Source organism: Homo sapiens, chromosome 2 (assembly GCF_000001405.40).
Source record: "Homo sapiens chromosome 2, GRCh38.p14 Primary Assembly".
NCBI lineage: Eukaryota > Metazoa > Chordata > Mammalia > Primates > Hominidae > Homo > Homo sapiens.
Window position 1 is genome coordinate 205,972,242 of NC_000002.12, and position 16,045 is coordinate 205,988,286.

Here is a 16,045-nt window from a genome sequence, read left to right on the forward strand (position 1 = left end):
CATCCTGCTGTGGGGTTTATGACTTTGGTTTTAAGCTTTGGATTCTGTAGTCTAGACAGTTGGCCATGGTGAGGCCTGGAGACATATGTATGTCCACAGTACCTGGGCCACCAGCTGCAGGGAAGAACCAAGCCCAATATGGCTCCATTCTCTCTGGCCCAGCTTGCCTCCTAGCCATGCTATGAAGGATCAGATCCTCCAGATACGGTCTTTACAGCTCTCTCCTTGTCCTGGGCTCTGCACCTGGTACATAACAATGAAAATTGCTTATGCCTGTAATCCCAGCACTTTGTGAGGCCGAGGTGGGTGGCTCACTTGAGGCCAGGAGTTTCAGAGGAGCCTGGTCAACACAGCAAGACCCCATCTCTGTGTTTAAAAATATATATATATTTTAAAATTAAAAGAAAAAATAAAATAAAATTGCTTATTTCAGCCAGGTATGGTGGCTCATGCCTGTAAATCCTAGCAATTTGGGAGGCCAAGGTAGGAGGATTGCTTGAGCCCAGGAGTTCAAGACCAGCCTGAGCAACATAGTGAAACCCTGTCTCTACAAATAATTTTTTTTTTTTTTTTGGAATGGAATCTCGCTCTGTTGCCCAGGCTGGAGTACAATGGCGCAATCTCGGCTCACTACAACCTCTGCCTGCCAGCAGTTCAAGTAAGTCTCCTGCCTCAGCCTCCCTAGCAGCCTGGACTAGAAGCACCCACCACCATGCCCAGCTAATTTGTGTATTTTTAGTAGAGACGGGGTTTCACCATGTTGGCCAGGCTGGTCTCAAACTCCTGGCCTCAAGTGATCTGCCCACCTCAGCCTCCCAAAGTTCTGAGATTACAGGCGTGAGCCACTGCGCCTGGCCCTACAAATAATAACTTTAAAAAAATTAGTCAAATGTTGTGTCATGCACCTGTGGTCCCAGCTACTCTGCCTTTAGCCCAGGCAGTCAAGGCTGCAGTGAGCCACGATCACATCACTGCTCCCCAGGCTGGGCAGCAGAGTGAGACCCTATCTCAAAATAAAATAAAACAAGATAGGCTGGGCACAGTGACTCACACCTGTAATCCCAGCAGTTTGGGAGGCTGAGGTGGGCGGATCACCTGAGGCCAGGAGTTTGAGGCCAGCCTGGCTAACATGGTGAAACCCCGTCTCTACTAAAAATACAAAAAAATCAGCTGGGTGTGGTGGCACATGCCTGTAGGTCTAGCTGCTTGGGAGACTGAGGCAGGAGAATCACTTGAATTCAGGAGAGGGAGGTTGCAGTGAGCCGAGATCATGCCACTACACTCCAGCCTGGGCAACAGAGTGAGACTCCGTCTCAAAAATAAAATAAAACAGCTTTTTTTTTTTTTTTTTTTTTTGAGACAGGGTCTCGCTCTGCCACCTAGGCTGGAGTGCAGTGGAACAATCTTGGCTCACCACAACCTCCACCTCCCAGGCTCAAGCAATCCTCCTGCCTCTGCTCCCTGAGTAGCTGGGACTGCTGGTGCATGCCACCACGCTTGGCTAATTTTTAAATATTTTGTAGAGACAAGGTCTCACTATATTGCCCAAGCTGGTCTCAAACTCCAAAGCTCAAGCAATCCTCCCACCTCGGCCTCCCGGAAGTGCTGGAATTACAGGTGTGAGCCACTGTGCCCCACCAAAATTGCTTATTTCTATGTTTTTCATTGAAAATTAAGGTTACTAAGAGTTAAAATTGTAATTAATATATGAAATTAAAACTACTAGATATAAAACGCACAATTCCTGCATACAGAATGTGTAAGAAGGCCAGGCACAGTGGCTCACACCTATAATCCAAGCACTTTGGGAGACTGAGGTGGGAGAATTGCTTGAGCCCAGGAGTTTGAGACCGGACTGGGTAACACAGGGAAACCTTGACTGTAATATATATATATATATATATATATATATATATTTTTTTTTTTTTTTTTTTTTTTAAGTAGCTGGGATGGTAGCACACACCTGTAGTCCTAGCTACTCAGGAGGCTGAGTTGGGAGGAGCACCTTGAGCCCAGGAGTTCCAGACCAGCCTGGGCGAAGGAGCGAGATCACATTTCAAAAAAAAAAAATTGAATGTGATTTTGGTTAAAGAAAAGTTTATAGCCGGGCGCGGTGGCTCACGCCTGTAATCCCAGCACTTTGGGAGGCCGAGGCGGGCAGATCAGGAGATCAGGAGATCGAGACCATCCTGGCTAACACGGTGAAACCCCGTCTCTACTAAAAACACAAAAAATTAGCCGGGCGTGGTCTCAGGCGCCTGTAGTCCCAGCTACTCGGGAGGCTGAGGCAGGAGAATGGTGTGAACCCAGGGGGCGGAGCCTGCAGTGAGCCGAGATCGCGCCACTGCACTCCAGCCTGGGTGACAGAGCGAGACTCCGTCTCAAAAAGAAAAGAAAAGAAAAGAAAAGTTTATAAAGAAGACATAAAGATGTGGTTTCTGCAAAGGAAAAGTAATTTTGTCCAGTTTAGAGGTTATTTAAAGTTTGTTTCAAAATGAAGGTATAAAGGAATAAAATATACACAGCAACACATCTATTACAGTTTACTTCAAAGAGAGATACGGAATGTGGGAGGACATCTCATTAGCTGGAAAATTCTCTGGGAAAATATTTTCTTGCTCTGAAAGAATTTTGAAAAAGGGCATTTCAGTTATGATTGAATCACATTGTAGGTCAAAAACAGTTAAACATCCACAATTTCATATGATTCAATCTGATCCAAGAGGACTGAGAAAAGTGTCATTACTTTTCTACTTGTTTATAATAAAAATTCTGTTATAAATTGTGCACTTAAAATGAGTGAATTTTATGGCATGTAAACTATAGCTCAATAGTGCTATTAAACATTCTACTTGAGTCATTTATTCATTCCCGTTTTCAAAACACAAATTCCTAATTCAGAGGTGGGATATCTCACTGAGGTTTCATGTGGCTAAATGACTTGTTTATTCATCCAGAGCAGAGCAGAAAACCAGACCACAAAGGAAAAGCCCAGACCTTTCCCTACTTGGCTCAGTCCCCTAGTTCACGAGACTTGGGTATAAAATGGCCCAATGTATTCCCAACAGCTGCAATTCTTCAAGACAGGAGGATAATCAAACTAAGTCCACATATTTTTTCAGAAAAAGAACCAGAAACTAAAGTCCACCCTCTCAACCACTTCTTTCTCCAAGGTAAAGTTAAACATTAACTGGAGTGCACAAACAAGGACTTTGTCTTGTTCTCTGTACTTCCTCCTCTCCTGTGACACACCCTGTTTCTCCCCAACCCCATCTCCCAACCCAATGTGTTCAATGTTATCAAACACCAGTCTCTCTCTGGAAGTTCAACTTGACCCAAACAGTCCATACTGGGAGACAGGAAAACAATAACAGTTTCAGCAGCAATATATTGACAGCCTTGTACGTGCTGCTTAGCATGCCACAGTGCAGTAGCCATTCTAGAATGCATTCCTGGTAGCAGATGGATATGCTAAACCTACAGGAAGGCCTCTATGGTGGCAGAGGGAGAGGCACTTCTCATACTTGCATTGCACCTGAAACCCTGGGCATCTGGTTAAAATGCAGATTTTGATCCTTTAGGTCTGGGGTGGGCACTGACACGCTGCATCTCTAACAAGCTGTCAGGAAATGCTGCTGCTATTGCTGCTGCCGCTGCTGGTGGTACAGGGACCACACTTTAAAGTAGCAAGATATTAAGGCATCACTGTTCAACAGAAACATAAAGCAAGGCAAAAATGCAAGCCCCTGTACATAATTTTAACTATTCTGGTAGCTGCACTAAAAAGTTAAGAAACAGGTAAAATTCATTTTAATAATATATTATTTAACTTAATAACTTAAAATGTTATCATTGCAATATGAAACCAATAGAAAATTTTATTTATGAGGTGTTTTACATTCTTTTTTTCATACGAAGTATTCGAAAGCTGGCAGGTATTTACCCTTAAGGAACCTCTTATTCCAGCTAACCAGGCTTCAAGGGCTCAGTAGTCCCATAAGGGCAGTGGCTATGTACAAGACAGCATGGCCCCTGGGGCTCCTCAGTGGTTCTGGACTCCCTAAGCAGCCATGCCGCGAAGCAGCCAACACTACGGGGAATTATTCTACTCTATTGGCTCCTATTGAGAGTCTTCTAAGAGGTCATAGAGACTCAGAAACGGAGTCTCAGAAACGGAGAAGAGAAACATCATGTCTTTTGAGGTCTGCTTATCAAAAACAAGAAGGGCCATGGTTCCAGGAGGGGAAGGAGGGCTTTTGCAGTTCGGAGCCCTCCAACAGAGAATCTAGCAAGCACGTTGCGAAGTAAGGTGGCCAAGACTGGTGGGTGGGAGGCATCCCAAGGGAGAAGCCCTAGAGCTCCTCAACTACTTCCCATGCCTGCTTCCTCACCGCCCTTCCTTGACTGGGTGCTGCTGAGATCCAGGTTCCGGACCCTCAGGCCACAGCCAAGCTCACCAATCCTGTGGCCTGAATTTAGTATCAAAAATGAAGTCATGGGGCGTGGTGGCTCACGCCTGTAATCACAGAACTTCGGGAGGCCGAGGCGGGCGGATCACCTGAGGTCCGGAGTTTGAGACCAGCCTGACCAACATGGAGAAACCCCGTGTCTACTAAAAATACAAAATTATCAGGGCGTGGTGGCGCGTGCCTGTAATCCCAGCTACTCAGGAGGCTGAGGCAGGAGAATCGCTGGAACCCGGGAGGTGGAGGTTGCAGTGAGCTGAGATTGTGCCATTGCACTCCAGCCTGGGCAACAAGGGTGAAACTCCGACTCGGGGAAAAAAAAAAAAAAAAAGAAGTCAAAGAGGGAAAGAGAGAGGTGACAGCATGCTGGCAGCCCTCGCACGCTCTCGGCGCCTCCTCGGCCTTGGCGCTCACTCTGGCCGCGCTTGAGGAGCCCTTCAGTCCACCGCTGCACTGTGGGAGCACCTTTCTGGGCTGGCCAAGGCCGGAGCCGGCTCCCTCAGCTCGCGGGGAGGTGTGGAGGGAGAGGCGCGGGCGGGAACCGGGGCTGCGCGCAGCGCTTGCAGGCCAGCGTGAGTTCCCAGTGGGCATGGGCTCGGCAAGCCCCACACTGGGAGCCGGCAGGCCCGCAAGCCCTGGGCAGTGAGGGGCTTAGCACCTGGGCCAGCAGCTGCTGTGCTCGATTTCTGGCTGGGCCTTAGCTGCCTCCCTGCAGGGCAGGGCTGGGGACCTGCAGCCCACCATGCCTGAGCCTCCCCCGACCTGCTGTGGGCTCCTGTGCAGCCCGAGCCTCCCTGACGAGCACTGCTCCCTGCTCCACGGCGCCCAGTCCCATCCACGGCCCAAGGGCTGAGGAGTGCTGGCGCATGGTGCGGGACTGGCAGGCAGCTTCACCTGCGGCCCCTGTGCGGGATCCACTGGGTGAAGCCAGCTGGGCTCCTGAGTCTGGCGGGGACTTGGAGAACATTTATGTCTAGCTAAGGGATTGTGAATGCACCAATCGGCACTCTATCTAGTTAGTCTGGTGGGGACTTGGAGAATCTTTATGTCTAGCTAAAGGTTTGTAAATGCACCAATCAGCACTCTGTGTCTAGCTCAGGGTTTGTAAATACACCAATCGACACTCTGTATCTAGCTAACCTAGTGGGGACATGGAGAACTTTTGTGTCTCACTCAGGGATTGTAAACGCACCAATCAGCACCCTGTCAAAATGGACCAATCAGCTCTCTGTAAAATGGACCAATTAGCAGGATGTGGGTGGGGCCAGATAAGAGAATAAAAGCAGGCTGCCCGAGCTAGCAGTGGCAACCCACTCGGTCCAGTTACACGCTGTGGAAGCTTTGTTCTTTCGCTCTTTGTGATAAATGTTGCTACTGCTCACTCTGGGTCCACGCTGCCTTTATGAACTGTAACACTCACCGTGACAGTCTGCAGCTTCACACCTGAAGCCAGCGAGACCACAAACCCACCAGGAGGAACGAACAACTCCAGGCAGGTAGCCTTAAGAACTGTAACACTCACTGCGAAGGTCTGCAGCTTCACTCCTGAGCCAGCGAGACCATGAACCCACTAAAAGGAAGAAACTCCGAACACATCCGAACATCAGAAGGAGCAAACAAACTCCGGACACGCCACCTTTAAGAACTGTAACACTCACCGCGAGGGTCTGCGGCTTCGTTCTTGAAGTCAGTGAGACCAAGAACCCACCAATTCCGGACACAAAAGGAAGAAAATAAAGGAGAAAATAAGAAGGAAAAAGGAAAGTAAGTAAATATAAAGAGAAAAAAGGAAAGAGTTCTAAGCTCTTAACCTCTATTTGCCTTCTTGCTTCTTTACTCTTGGTTCCCAGGTTATACACAAGAAGATGAATTCTGGAGTTTAATGTCCCTGCCTTAGCTTAGAGATAGGAGCAGGCTTGAAACCACAGTCTTTACTCAGGTAAAGCCAGCATGAGAGGATCACTTCTGACTTGCCCACAGGATTTGTTTATGGAAGTCATAGATCTATAGGACTTCACCCCGATGATATGGTTTGGCTGTGTCCCCACCCAAATCTCATCTTGAATTCCCATGTGTTGTGGGAGGAACCCAGTGGGAGGCAATCAAATCATGAGGGCAGGTCTTTCCCATGCTGTTCTCATGATAGTGAATAAGTCTGATGAGATCTGATGGTTTTATAAGGGGGAGTTTCCTTACACAAGCTCTTTCTTTTTTTGCCTGCTGCCATCCATGTAAGATGTGACTTGCCCCTCCTTGCCTTCTGCCATGATTGTGAGGCCTCCCCAGCCACATAGAACTGTGAGTCCATTAAACCTCTTTTTCTTCCTAGTCTTGGGTATGTCTTTATCAGCAGCATGAAAACGGACTAATACACCTATCAAAGCAGGAATTCCTCTGAAACAAGGACAGCCAGACTTTCCTTGAAAATTTCCAGAAAGAATTCACTACCCGAATAAGACATCCTCTCCAATTTTTAAGAAATATTACAAAGTTATTGCTATGAAGTTGAAATTTACCTTCATTTAATGTTCAGCCACTAATCCATGTACTATTTTCCAGAACTTCATGAAATACATGTAATCCCTATTCTTTAAATACTTGAAGACAGTTGTCCTGGGTACCTGTCCTAGATCCCTTCCTGTCCAAATCTGCCAACACCTTTCTATCAATATGTATATATATGTTTCAAGTTGATATATATACACACATATGTATATGTGTGTGTGTATATATATACACACTGTGTTATTGGTTTTAGTTTTAAAATGTGAAACATAATAATAGCATGTTTGTATGTAAATGGAAATGATCCTTTAGATAGGGAAACACTTACAATAGAGGAGAGAAGGGAGAATTACTAGAGCAGCATGTCTCAGTCCATTTGGACTATTATAACAAATTCCATAACTGGGGGCTTATAAACAAAAGAAGTTTATTTCTCACAACTCTGGAGGCTAAAAGTCCAAGATCAGGAAGCTGGAAAATCCAGCCTGGGAAGGGCCCACTTTCTGGTTCATAGTTGGGACCTTCTTGCCCTAGCCTTACCTGGTGGAAGGAGTACAGGAGCTCCCTTGCACCTCTTCCATAAGGGCACCTATCCTATCAGGAGGGCTCCACCCTCATGACCTAATCATCTCCCAAAGCCCAACCTCCTGATATCACCACCCTGGGGGTTAGGAGTTCAACATAGGAATTTGGGGAGGACATCGCCATTCAGGCCATAGCAAGGTGTCTTTGATGAATGAAAGGGTGTGGGATCCATGTCCGAGTGGAAGGGCAGGCCCTTGCTAGGAGCACAGACCCATCATCCATGGAAACAAGAAGGCGGAGTGAACAGGAACAGATGTCTCTTCCAGTGTGTAGTGGGAGAATGTAGAACTTTTCTTTGATTTCTTAAATTTTCTGAGTGAAATAGGAAACAACGATATCTGCTAAAGGTGAGGACAAGGTATGAGTTGAGGTCTGAGAAAAGAGGAAAAAGTATGAATGTATCGTCTAGGAGAGGGAGAAGAGTGAAGGGACACTTTCACTTTGCCAGACAGCATTAAGGGTATACTTGAATTTAGTGACCATAAAATCATCTCTCAGACCATATCTCAGACCCTTTATAATTCTTTTTTTTTTTTTTTTTTTTTTGAGACAGGTTCTTGCTCTGTTGCCCAGGCTGGAGTGCAGTGGTACTGTCTCAGGTAACTGCAACCTCTGCCTCCCAAGCTCAAGCAATCCTCCCACCTCAGCCTCCTGAATAGCTGGGACTACAGGGTGCATGTCACCACACCTACTAATTTTTGTACTTTTTGTAGAGATGAGGTTTCGCCATGTTGCCCTGGCTGGCCTCAAACTCAGGCTCAAGCAATCCTCCTGCCTCAGCCTCCCAAAGTGCTGAAATTACAGCCATGAGCCACTGTGTTCAGCCTATAATTCAATTTTTAAGGAATAACCTGAAATCAATAAATGGAAACACTGACTTGACTATACTAAAATCTAAGGACCCTAGACTTTTAGAACTAGAAGATACTGGGCCGGGCACGGTGGCTCACGCCTGTAATGCCAGCACTTTGGGAGGCCAATGCAGGTGGATCACCTGAGGTCAGGAGTTCGAGACCAGCCTGGCCAACATGGTGAAACCCCATCTCTACTAAAAATACAAAAATTAGCCAAGTGTGGTGGCACACACCTGTAATCCCAGCTACTCAGGAGGCTGAGGCAGTAGAATCGCTTGAACCCAGGAGGTGGAGGTTGCAGTGAGCCAAGATCACATCATTGCACTCCAGCCTGGGCGACAACAGTGAAACTCCATCTCAAAAAAAAAAAAAAAAAAAAAACCTACAAGATACTTTAAATACTATTATTCAACTTCTTTCTTTCACAGAGAAAGAAATGGAAGGCCGGAGAAGTTAAAACATTTGTTAAACAAGTCTATGGCAGAACCCAGATCTTTATTGTGGGGAAGAAAAGTAATACTCGATATGTGACCCCCAAATGCAGAATACACACCAATGGCTGGAATTTCTAGATTTCATCTAAGTATAATATGTTCTTAATAGAGATATCCAGTAATGGGATGGGCTACTTGAGAGGGAGTAAAGATAGAAGACTTAGCCAGGTGCAGTGGCTCATGCCTGTAATTCCAGCACTTTGGGAGTCCAAGGCAGGCGGATCACAAGGTCTGGAGTTCGAGACCAGCCTGGCTAATATGGTGAAACCCTGTCTCTACTAAAAATACAAAAATTAGCCGGGTGTGGTGGCACTGGGACTAGTAGCCTGTAGTCCCAGCTACTCAGGAGGCTGAGGCAGGAGAATCGCTTGAACCCGGGTGGTGGAGGTTGCAGTGAGCCGAGATCACACCACTGCACTCTGGCCTGGGTGTCAGAGTGAGACTCCATCTAAAAAAAAAAAAAAAATTAGAAAACTTCACACGTGAAGGATGGTTCTTGCATTACGGGAGTTAGTCTAAATTAACCTTCCAGCTCTGATATTCCACACTTCAAATAGAGATAAACGTTTAAGAATATTGTGCACTGTTTATTAATACCGAGGCAACGTTAGGACTACTAGAATAACTAAATCCCACTAGTTCCTTAAAAAGCCTCCCAGGGGGTGGGGATGTAAAAAAAAAAAAAAAGAAAAAAAAAGATCTTTTAAATAAAAAGCCTCCTACCCCTAAATTATTCAATTACAACTTTTGAAGCATCAGTACTGACTGAAGTTCCTTATTTCCCCTACTCACATGTGCTTATACAGCATAAAATGTCTGTAAGACAAGCAGTCAGTGGAGTAGTTAGGAGAGCAGAGAAGCTAGGGTAATAAACAGAACAGATAATTAGTCCTTGAATAACTGATGAACTTAGGCTCCAAGGTCATTATTCCACAACATTCTTTTTTTTTTTTTTTTTGAGATGGAGTCTCGCTCTGTTGCCCAGGCTGGAGTGCAGTGGCGCAATCTCAGCTCACTGCGAGCTCCGCCTCCCTGGTTCATGCCATTCTCCTGCCTCAGCCTCCTGAGTAGCTGGGACTACAGGCACCCACCACCACGCCCAGCTAATTGTTTTTGTATTTTTAATATAGACGGGGTTTCACCATGTTAGCCAGGATGGTCTCGATCTCCTGACCTCCTGATCCGCCCACCTCGGCCTCCCGAAGTGCTGGGATTACAGGCGTGAGCCACCGCGCCCGGCCCCAAACATTCTTAATGGTACTGAAACTACTCCAAACATTTTCGTGACACCAACCAGTGACTGGGTTACAAGTTTGCTCCAGAGGAAACACTTTTCAGAAAGGATGAGTAAGTTGCTTCCAATAATGAGGAATGGCCACAGCTGAGAAGATGCCTTTAAAATACAATCTGGGAAAGTACTCTCCGATCTAATTTGTTTCATAGCATGTTAGTACTTTTAAAATTTTTCTGCAGCATACTTGGAAAAAAATTGGAAGAGTGGCAGGGACAGATATAACATGTCCACTGATAACTGCCATGTGTCCAGCAAGGCTGGCAGATTTGTCCAGTAGAGAAACAACAAGACTTATACCCTGTTGAACTTAGTTTATTGCTTAGACATCAAACAACAACAGCAACCCCAAAAACAAAAAACAAAGAGGCCAGTTCCTCATGTCCTTTGTCCCATAAGGCAACACTGAAACAAAAGTGGCCAGATGACAGCATGGATGATAGCACACTCTAGCTGAGAAGCCTGTGGCATGCTGCAACTAAGCAATTTTATAGCCTGCAGCTATTCCCTAAGGGTAAAGACAAGGCCTCATACCTCAATCAGAACCCAAGAAACAATGAGAGTGTCCCATGACGGCCTCCATGGAAGATGGGGAGGTGAGTGGGAAATGGCCTTAGGGCATCTCCTCATGTTCTGGGACAATCACAGGGCACTATTCCAAGACTTAGATCAGTTGCGGTTAAGCTTTGCCTATGTGGCCTATGTGGAGACTTGCACAGATGACGAGGACATCATGGTGGAGTCATTACCCTAGGCCATGGTGGAATTAAAGAGTCTCTTGGGAAAGATTATGAAAGAGAGGGAAGAGTGACATGCAGACGTCCGTAAAAATAGTCAAAAGGGCTCTGATTAGCAAGCTGAGTCCCCACAAGGGAAAGAGGTCACATGGGCAGTATTGGTTCATTAAGACGGGAATCTACCATGGGCAAAGGGCTAGTGAAAGCCCATTGGACACAGCATAACAGGACACTTTAGACCATTCCTAACACAGGGATCTGGAAATGCTACTTGACATTGTGAGAAAAAAACTCACCTGTCCACACCCAAAGAATGGACTCAAGAGACCGGGAGAACCGTGAAAGTGAGACTTTTAATGATGGTCTTGCAAGATTGGGTGTCTGATGAATGGGAACACCCAGCACAGTTTCAACAAGCAATTTGTCCCCTAGTGCGCAGGTCCCTTCCCCAGTTCCTCATAGGCTGAGGACGATGGGGTCACAATCTTCCCAGACATCGCCTATGATTGTTGGGTAGGGGATTTAGATGGTTTCTTTAGGGTTGTCTTGCTGCATTTTTTTTTTTGCAGCCCACAATGCATTGCAATCCTAGTTAGCTCAGGGGCTCTTCGGGTATTTGACTTAGGACCTAAGTAGCTGGGCAGGCTGATAAGAATAGACAAAGCGAGCTATCTTGCAGACTAGTAAACTTTCATCTTAGACTAAACTTTGGTTCGGGTAAAGGCAACTAAGGGGGTTGGAGGGGGAGGGGGGAGGCCGACAAGCAGGTGTTGGCTATCCAAGCAGAGGCCTAGTATATGCTGTTTCTTCTGTAGTTTGCTGACCTAAGCTGATTCAAGGCACTTTGTCTTGGAAATAGACCACTGTATATATCATTTCCTTTAACAGCAAAAAAACCACATGGGCCGGGCACAGTGGCTAACGCCTATGATCCCAGCACTTTGGAAGGCCGAGGTGGGTGGATCACTTGAGGTCAGGAGTTCGAGACCAGCCTGGCCAACATGGCAAAACTCCGTCTCTACTAAAAATACAAAAAAATTAGCCGGGCCTGGCGATGCGTGCCTGTAATCCCAGCTACTCAGGAGGCTGAGGCAGGAGAATCGCTTGAACCCGGGAGGCGGAGGTTGTAGTGAGCCGAGATCCTACCACTGCACTCCAGCCTGGGCAACACAGGGACGGACACACTGTCTCAAAAAAAAAAAAAAAAAAGAAAAAGAAAGAAAGAAAAAAGAAACTACTAATCTGGCCTAATTCTCTTAGTTTACAGATGAGGAACCGAAGGTCCAGAAAGGTGAGATGATTTTCCGAGGTTACACTTCTACTTTGGAGAAACAGCTTGAGCTCAACCATTTCCTCACGGTCCAAGGCTGCTTCTAGTGGACTACCCACTTCTAAATTGCGACGCAAGTTTTCGCTTTTACCAAAACAAAACTGCACCAGTTAGAAATTGTTCCAAAGCAAAACTGAAACTTCTACTGAGAATGCTACTATTCTGAAGCTGAAATTATGCCTTTAAAAAAACACTTTTTTTTTTTACCAGACTAGTTCAGTGGCATCAAGAATTGCTAAAATCTTAGTAATTTATTTTTTAAAGCATTGTTTTATCCAGATACTTAAGAAGATGTGATTTTAATACTTCATTATTCCATTGCATTTTAAAGCAAGGTTTTAATTTAGTCTCACAACCAAAACACTTTCCAAAAAAAGCATCTCTAATTTGGTAATTTGTGTCAATAAGAAAATATGACTAATTAATATAAATCAGATTTACTGCCAACTTTTCAGGAATACATTTATTTTGTCAAGTAACCTGTTAATTAAACAGGAGTATGATAAGAGAAACAAGTGATAATAATACAAGTAAACAGAGCTTCAAGCTTATCATTTTCAGAGGGAAATGTAGGTAATATCCACAAGCAGGACATCACATTATACTTTTGATACCAAAATTCAAATACAATTTTGGCACTGCTATTCTATCTGTATATAAAAATTAAATAAAACAAAAAAGGCGCTAGATGCATGTTCTTAATGATTAATATTCTGTGCATACTTTTTTCTGCACACAATTTTTAGGGGAGACAGAACACGGATTAATGAAATGCTGACAATCTAACATATTCTGTGACAAATTGGAGTTATAGAAAAAATTGCCAATTTTGAATACCAAGATATATTTGAAGGTTCCTTATTCTCCCTCACTCAAAAAAAAATCAAATATATTATTTGGCGTCTTCTAGCATCATAATGGGCAACAATTTATCCAGGTTCTGCTATATGCATTGAACCATTATCTCCAGCAATAAGGATTTTTATTTTTATTATTTTTATTTTCTTTGAGACAAGGTCTTGCTCTGTCTCCCAGGCTGGAGTGCAGTGGTGTGATCTCGGCTCACTGCAACCTCCGGAGGGTTATCTGTTAGGAAATGATTGCATGAGTTTGGTCAGCAAGTGAGGAAAACCTGCAACACTGGGAGAAATCAAGATGACTACGGATACTGGTGTGAGTTGGGAGTCTTCATATTTGTTCAAAGAATGAATAATTAAAAGAGCAAGTGAATAAAGGCAAAAGTTCACAGTGAGAGCTGGTCAAAAAGGAAAAGATGTTAACTTTGGATTTAGACAAGCTAAATTTAGAATGATGGCTGGATATCAAGGTGGGAGTCCTCAGGAAGGAGCAGGAGATGTGAGGCCAAAGTTTGAGAGTAATCAGAGCAGTAGGTACAATTTTCAAGTTAATCTCCAGGGAGGTCAATGTTTAAGCCAGGGCATAGAAGGATCCTAAACTGGGAGCTCATGTACAGAGTAAGAACAAAAGAGAAGGCTGAGGAGTGATGATGAAGAATTGGAACTGACAAAGAGCCCAGAAAAAGCATCATATGGGAATAAAGTGGAGAAAAGAAACAATGCAATGTTATCAGTCTTGACTGGTTCAAGAGAGGCTAAATAGAATGACATCAAAGGGCATGGATGGCCTCAGAAAGAATAGTTGCAGGCAAATAACAAGGTGAAAGCTAAACTGCAATGGGTTAAGGAGTGACAGTCAGTGGAAAGAGCAGGTATAATGTTGACCAGTACAAAGAAAGGACTGCAATTAAAGGAATAAGGGGAGGGAAGATTTTAGTCTTCAAGAATAGACATTGGTACTGAGAGTAATAAGCATTGTGGGACAGTATATTTGGCCTCTATGTACTGTGGAGGTGACATATGGTCTAGCTTCTTAGATTTCTACTTTTTATTTATTTAGTGTTTTTTGAGATAGAGTCTCACTCCGTCATCCAGGCTGGAGTGCAGTGGCGCGATGTCGGCTCAGTACAGCTTCCGCCTCCTGGGTTCAAGCGATTCTCATGCCTCAGCCTCCAGAGTAGCTGGAATTACGGCGCCCCCCACCATGCCCAGCTAATTTTTGTAATTTTAGTAGAGATGGGGTTTCACCATGTTGGCCAGGCTGGTCTCAAACTCCTGACCTCAAGTGATCCACCTGCCTCAGCCTCCAGAAGTGCTGGGATTACAGGTGTGAGCCTCTGCGCCCATCCTCTACTTTTTAGTTTAGCAAAAGTATCTTGAATTTGATGGAGCTTATGTTGAAAAATAGTTTATATTTTTTATCATTTTTTATTTATTTTTGAGACACAGTCTCACTCTGTCACCCAGGCTGGAGTGCAGTGGCGCAATCTTGGCTCACTGCAACCTCTGCCTCCCAGGTTCAAGCGATTCTCTTGCCTCAGCCTCCCCAGTAGCTGGGTCTACAGTGGGACATGCACATCTTCTGATAAAGGACCAGAGTCTACTAATTCTTTATACTTATAGTCATATTTTCTTTTCTTTTAGACATGGGGTCTTGCTATGTTTCCCATGTTGGCCTCAAACTCCTGGGCTCAAAGGGTCCTTCTGCTTCTGCCTCTGAGTAGCTGCGAATACAGGTGTGCACCACTGCACCCAGCTCTATATTTTCTTTTCTTTCTTTTTTTCTTGAGACAGAATTGCCCAGGCTGGAGTGGAATGGCACAATCTCGGCTCACTCCAACCTCTGCCTCCTGGGTTCAAGCGATTCTCCTGCTTCTGCCTCCTAAGTAGCTGGGATTACAGGCATGCGCCACCACACCTGGCTAATTTTTTGGATGTAGTAGGGATGGGGTTTCACCATATTGGTTAGAGTGGTCTCGAACTCCTGACCTGAGGTGATCCACCCACCTTGGCCTCCCAAAGTGCTGGGATTACAGGCGTGAGCCACTGCGCCTGGCCTATATTTTATTTTCTTAAGTAGTTTCTATCCCAAAGTATCTTCTTTAAGTCAGGATACCATGATATATTTTCTTCCATTAAATGATGCTTTGTAGTATGTAAGATAAAATGTAGGAGAATTTTTTGAAGTTTCAAAGCAAAGGTAAATTTATATTTTTCTCTTTTTTTTTTTTTTTTTGAGACGGAGTTTTGCTCTTGCCCAAGCTGGAGTGCAGTGGCACAATCTCGGCTCACTGCAACCTCTGCCTCCCGGGTTCAAGTGATTCTCCTGCCTCAGCCTCCTGAGTAGCTGGGATTACAGGTGTGCACCACCACGTCTGGCTAATTTTTGCATTTTTAGTAGAGACAGGGTTTCACGGTGTTAGCTAGGATGGTCTCGATCGCCTGACCTCGTGATCCGCCCACCTCAGCCTCCCAAAGAGCTGGGATTACAGGCATGAGCCACCATGCCCGGCCTTATATTTTCAACTAACAGGATTCCCATAACTGAATGCATCCTCGAATATTTGGAAACTTGGTTGGGTAAGAGTAACCACATATGCTGGTTACCTATATCCTCTTGTATTTAAAAAATCAGCAGCAGACATTCCTTATGATCAGAAATTTCTTCCCAAGCTCTCAGCCTATCTCCATCTTCCTCATTTGCAGCTAACCTCTGTTCTCTTGTTCATTTCCCCAGGACACTTCCTTCTGGAAATAGCCTATGTTGTTTATCTTCAGTCTTTCCTTCTAGTTATAAAAGAAGCCTAACTAAAATTTACTAAGTACTTAGTATATGCCAAGGACTATTCTAAGTGCTTTACATAGGTTCTGTTCTGCAATCCTCTCAATGCAAAAATGCATTTTACAGATGAGGAAACTGAAGGAG

General features: G+C 44.8%; 1 annotated feature.

Annotated features, from left to right (window-relative positions):
• Positions 2,390–2,590: a silencer, noted in NCBI's record as "peak4024 fragment used in MPRA reporter construct". NCBI's record gives its function as "represses an SCP1 promoter by STARR-seq MPRAs in K562 erythroleukemia cells {active_cell/tissue: K562}" and the evidence as "EXISTENCE:reporter gene assay evidence [ECO:0000049][PMID:32103011]".